This window comes from Homo sapiens, chromosome 2 (assembly GCF_000001405.40).
Source record: "Homo sapiens chromosome 2, GRCh38.p14 Primary Assembly".
Classification (NCBI taxonomy): Eukaryota; Metazoa; Chordata; class Mammalia; order Primates; family Hominidae; genus Homo; species Homo sapiens.
The window spans coordinates 49214136-49219183 of NC_000002.12; the positions used below are offsets into that span (position 1 = coordinate 49214136).

The following is a 5048-nucleotide window of genomic DNA, read 5'->3' on the forward strand; positions in this document are numbered from 1 at the left end:
AAATCATGAGTGAACTCCCATTCACAATTGCTGCTAAGAGAATAAAATACCTAGGAATCCAACTTACAAGGGATGTGAAGGACCTCTCCAAGGAGAACTACAAACCACTGCTCAACGAAATAAAAGAGGACACAAGCAAATGGAAGAACCTTCCATGCTCATGGGTAGGAAGAATCAATATCGTGAAAATGGCCATGCTGCCCAAAGTAATTGATAGGTTCAATGCCATCCCCATTAAGCTACCAATGACTTTCTTCACAGAATTGGAAAAAAACTACTTTCACATGTAACTATTTCATTTGGTTAATATGGAACCAAAAAAGAGGCCACATTGCCAAGACAATCCTAAGCAAAAAGAACTAAGCTGGAGGCATCACACTACCTGATTTCAAACTATATTACAAGGCTACAGTAACCAAAATAGCATGCTACTGGCACCAAAACAGAGATATAGACCAATGGAACAGAACAGAGGCCTCAGAAATAACACCACACATCTACAACCCCCTGATCTTTAACAAATGTGACAAAAACAAGAAATGGGGAAAGGATTCCCTGTTTAATAAATGGTGCTGGGAAAACTGGCTAGCCATATGTAGACAGCTGAAACTGGATCCGTTGCTTGCACCTTGTACAAAAATTAATTCAAGATGGATTAAAGACTTACTGTTAGACCTAAAACCATAAAAACCTTAGAAGAAAACCTAGGCAATACCATTCAGGACATAGGCATGGGCAAGGGCAAGGACTTCATGTCTAAAACACCAAAAGCAATGGCGCAAAAGCCAAAATAGACAAATGAGATCTAATTAAACTAAAGAGCTTCTGCACAGCAAAAGAAACTACCATCAGAGTGAACAGGCAACCTACAGAATGGGAGGAAATTTTTGCAATCTACCCATCTGACAAAGAACTAATATCCAGAATCTGCAAAGAACTTATACAAATTTACAAGAAAAAAATCAACCCCATCAAAAAGTGGGTGAAGGATATGAACAGACACTTCTCAAAAGAAGACATTTATGCAGCCAACAGACATGTGAAAAAATGCTCATCATCACTGGTCAGCAGAGAAATGCAAATCAAAACCACAATGAGATACCATCTCATACCAGTTAGAATGGCGATCATTAAAAAGTCAGGAAACTACAGGTACTGGAGAGGATGTGGAGAAATAGGAATGCTTTTACACTGCTGGTGCGAGTGTAAACTAGTTCAACCATTGTGGAAGACAGTGTGGTGATTCCTCAAGGATCTAGAACTAGAAATACCATTTGACCCAGCCATCCCATTACTGAGTATATACCCAAAGGATTATAAATCATGCTACTATAAAGACACATGCACATGTATGTTTATTGCGGCACTAATCACAATAGCAAAGACTTGGAACCAACCTAAATGAGCATCAGTGATAGACTGGATTAAGAAAATGTGGCACATATACATTATGGAATACTATGCAGCCATAAAAAAGGATGAGTTCATGTCATTTGCAGGGACATGGATGCAGGTGGAAACCATCATTCTCAGCAAACTACTGCAAGGACAGAAAACCAAACACCGCATGTTCTCACTCATAGGTGGGAACTGAACAATGAGATCACTTGGACATAGGGTGGGGAACATCACACACTGGGGCCTGTCATGGGGTGGGGGCAGGGGGAGGGATAGCATTAGAAGAAATACCTAATGTAAATGATGAGTTACTGGGTGCAGCAAACCAACATGGCACATATATACCTATATAACAAACATGCATGTTGTGCACATGTACCCTAGAACTTAAAGTATAATAAAAATAATTAAAATTAAAAAATGTAAAAAACAAATAATAATAGATGAAAATACATTAAAAAAACAGTATTCGTTATCTCACAGTTTCTGTGGGTCAGAAGTACAGCATGGTCTAGTTGGGTCCATTCTTTCTCTGGGTTTCTTTCAAGGCTGCAATCAAGGTATTGGCTGGGGCTGTAGTTGCTGGCAGGATTCAGTTACTTATGAGCTATTGGACTGAGTGCCTCACTTCCTCATTGGTTATTATCCAGAAGCTGCTCTTAGTTTCTTGCCATATGGGTTTCTTCATAGGATAGCTCACAAAATGGTGGCTGGCTTCATTATAGAAAGCAAGAGAGAAGAGAAAGAGAGGTGTCACACTCTTTTATAACCTAATCTTATAAGTGACATCTCATCACTTTTTTCATATTCTGTTTGGTAGAAGCCAGTCACTATGTGCAGCCCACACTCAATAGGAGAGGGATTACACAAGCATTTGAATGACAGAAGGCAGGGATCGATCGTTTGAGCCATTTCAGAAGGTGCCAGCCACATTACTTTCCTAAATAAATGGTCAATTTCTTGCTTTCTCCCTTAGTGTTTAAATATTGATGAAAACTGGGCTTTTGTGTGGTATAGAAACAGTCTAATTATTTAGTTTCAGTGACTGAACATCTAAACTTATAAGCAGTAACAACAGACAGCCAAACAAATAAAGCCACCTCCCCTTTTTACCCAGGAATATAAATTTATTTCTTGTGATTGCAGTTCAAACATTATTAGCTTTTACTTGTATATTTTGTAAAATCACCACATCAATAAATAACCTTAGCTATTACTAGTTTATCTGAGAGATTTTCTTTAGTTAGAAAGGACACTTTGGGATCTTGAAGTCAAACTTCACTCTGGGACTCATCCTCTAATGGCCACAGAAATAGAAAACGTGCCACCTGCAGACTTTTAGATAAACCGATCCCCATTTCCGCTGGGTGTGGATATAGCTGCTTTTAAAGGGATCTTTTAAAATTGCATCACGCTTGCACTTCAGTCTCTTCCCTAAATCCTGATAAATAGCAAAGTGCACTCTTTGGATGGGGGCACGTTTCTGCTGTTAAGATGTTCACACGGAAACCCCGTGCTATCTCTTACAAGTCCTGCCAATGCTTTCATCTTTTCAAATCTAAAAAGGGCTTAAAGTGGCTTCGTTAAAACCCTCTCTATGAAAAGCTTAAATCCTTCAATAAGTCAGAATGAGGTGTACAGCTACATAAAGGCACCAGAGTTACATGATTTTCCAGGTAGGAAATGTAGTGGCTATGTTTTACAGTATTACATTTGAAGAAGAAAGTTTTAATATAAATTTGATATATCAGAGATATCAGCACACACATTTTAATTATACACATAAAAAAATTGGTACAAGTCTTTGCCCTGCATGAATACAGATACAGCATTACCAAGGCAGTTTAATTTGAAGAGCAATCGGCAAACCAATACCCTAAAAAATTGTATAGTAGTTCACTCTTATCTGCGGGGAATATGTTCCAGGACCCCCAGTGGATGCCTGAAACCATGGACAGTGCCAAACCATATATATTTTATGTTTTTCAATCTGTTAACCAACATGTCTGCTAAGTGACTAACAGACAGGGAGGTTATACAGTGTGGATGTGCTGGACAAAGAGATAATTCATGTGGGGTGGGGTGGAGCTGGAGTGGGATGGTGTGAGATTTTATCATACTCTTCAGAATGGTGCACAATTTGAAATTTATAAATTATTTCTGGAATTTTCCCTTTAATATCTCTAGACCACAGATGACAATAGATAACTGAAACCGTGGAAAATGAAACTTTGGGTAAGGAGGGAATACTGTACTTTCTATCTAGTACAGGGAATACTGTACTAGTTTCTATCATTTAAGAGGCACCTCTCTGGATGAGTTAATTGTCTCCTTTGTAAATGCAAATGCCTCTGGAAAAGGAAAACAAGAAGTATCAGAATCTAGTATCTTTGAGTAAATTTATATATATATATTTATATATATATATATATATATATATATATATATATATATTTTCCCCCCCATAGGACTATTCCTGACAGATGGCAGAAGGTGAGGGGAAGGAAGCTGATTACCTACCCTAGGCAATGAAGAGTGAGGCTCATGGGGCAGGTAGGTCATTAGAGGGCAGAAGACACTCTAGAGGGAGATGAAAAAAAACAACAACCATGAATCAGGCATTTATTTCTGTGTTGGATACTGTGTAAAGTGTGATATATACATTGCATAATTCAATCCCACATCTCTCTCACATGGCTAGACAGGGCAGAGCTGGGGTTCAAGTTCAGCTCTGTCTGACTCTAAAGGCAGTGCTCTTTTTATCACACTTTCTTAGAATAAATCTGAAAGTGAAGGTGGGAAGCCCCAAAGATAGAATTGGCAACTTATTTTGTTAAGTGTATGTAAGTTTAAGAGTGAGAGAGCCATCCCACACTAGAAACAAAATTTCTGCATTACTGTCTTAGAGAGAAAAGAAAAGCCACTCACATTTGGATCCACTTCCCTTTCTGAAGGAAAATGGTTTGTTTGGTTGTCTTAGATTTTCTGTCTTGCGTGCTCTAGGCCATTTGGCATAGATGGCTCAGGGAATGGTGAAGGGCAACATTTGCTTCTGTGCCTCCTCTCCTTCCTGCAAATGTCAGACCAAACTACATCTACAGAGGCAGAAGCAAACAATAATTGATGCTCACATAATAATCCTCAGACATCAAGAAAATATCAAATTGTGTTCATTGACCTACATATAAGAAGGCAAAAATATGCATCCTATATTTCAGAAATAATTTTAATACATTTACTTTTCTAAACATTGGTGCCTAAATCCATTAATGTTAACTCATGCTTTGACATACTGCTTAATTACAGAAAACGTCTAAGAGGCATTTGGCATGATTCTCATCCTCAAAGATTTCTACTTTTGCTCATCTAAAAAGTATTTATCAGGCACCTATTGGATTCTGAACAAAGGTGTAGAGGCTACAGATAAAGCAGTGAACAAAGTCTTCTGGGACAAGAAGGAAAACAAGACAAAAAGTTTTAAAAGGCTAGATGTGGTACACAGATGTCTAGTACTATAGGATTGCAGGGAGAAGGGAAGGCCAGAGGAGCAAGCAGGGAAGAAAACTGGGGGTGGGGTGGGGGCAAATTGGGCTTGGAGAACTTTTCACTTGGCCAAATAGAGACAGATTTTAATTTCCTGAAAAGTCTAA

The 5048-nt window shown here is 38.4% G+C and overlaps 1 long non-coding RNA gene across 1 annotated transcript; it reads right to left on the bottom strand.

Moving 5' to 3' along the window:
* Positions 1–1879: 1879 nt before the first annotated feature.
* On the bottom strand, positions 1880–4493 carry LOC107985810 (uncharacterized). Its single transcript, XR_001739191.2, has 3 exons — positions 4327–4493; positions 3919–3978; positions 1880–2112 (listed from the first exon to the last, which is right to left on the bottom strand). It is a non-coding gene; the product is annotated as an uncharacterized LOC107985810 (long non-coding RNA).
* Positions 4494–5048: the final 555 nt, after the last annotated feature.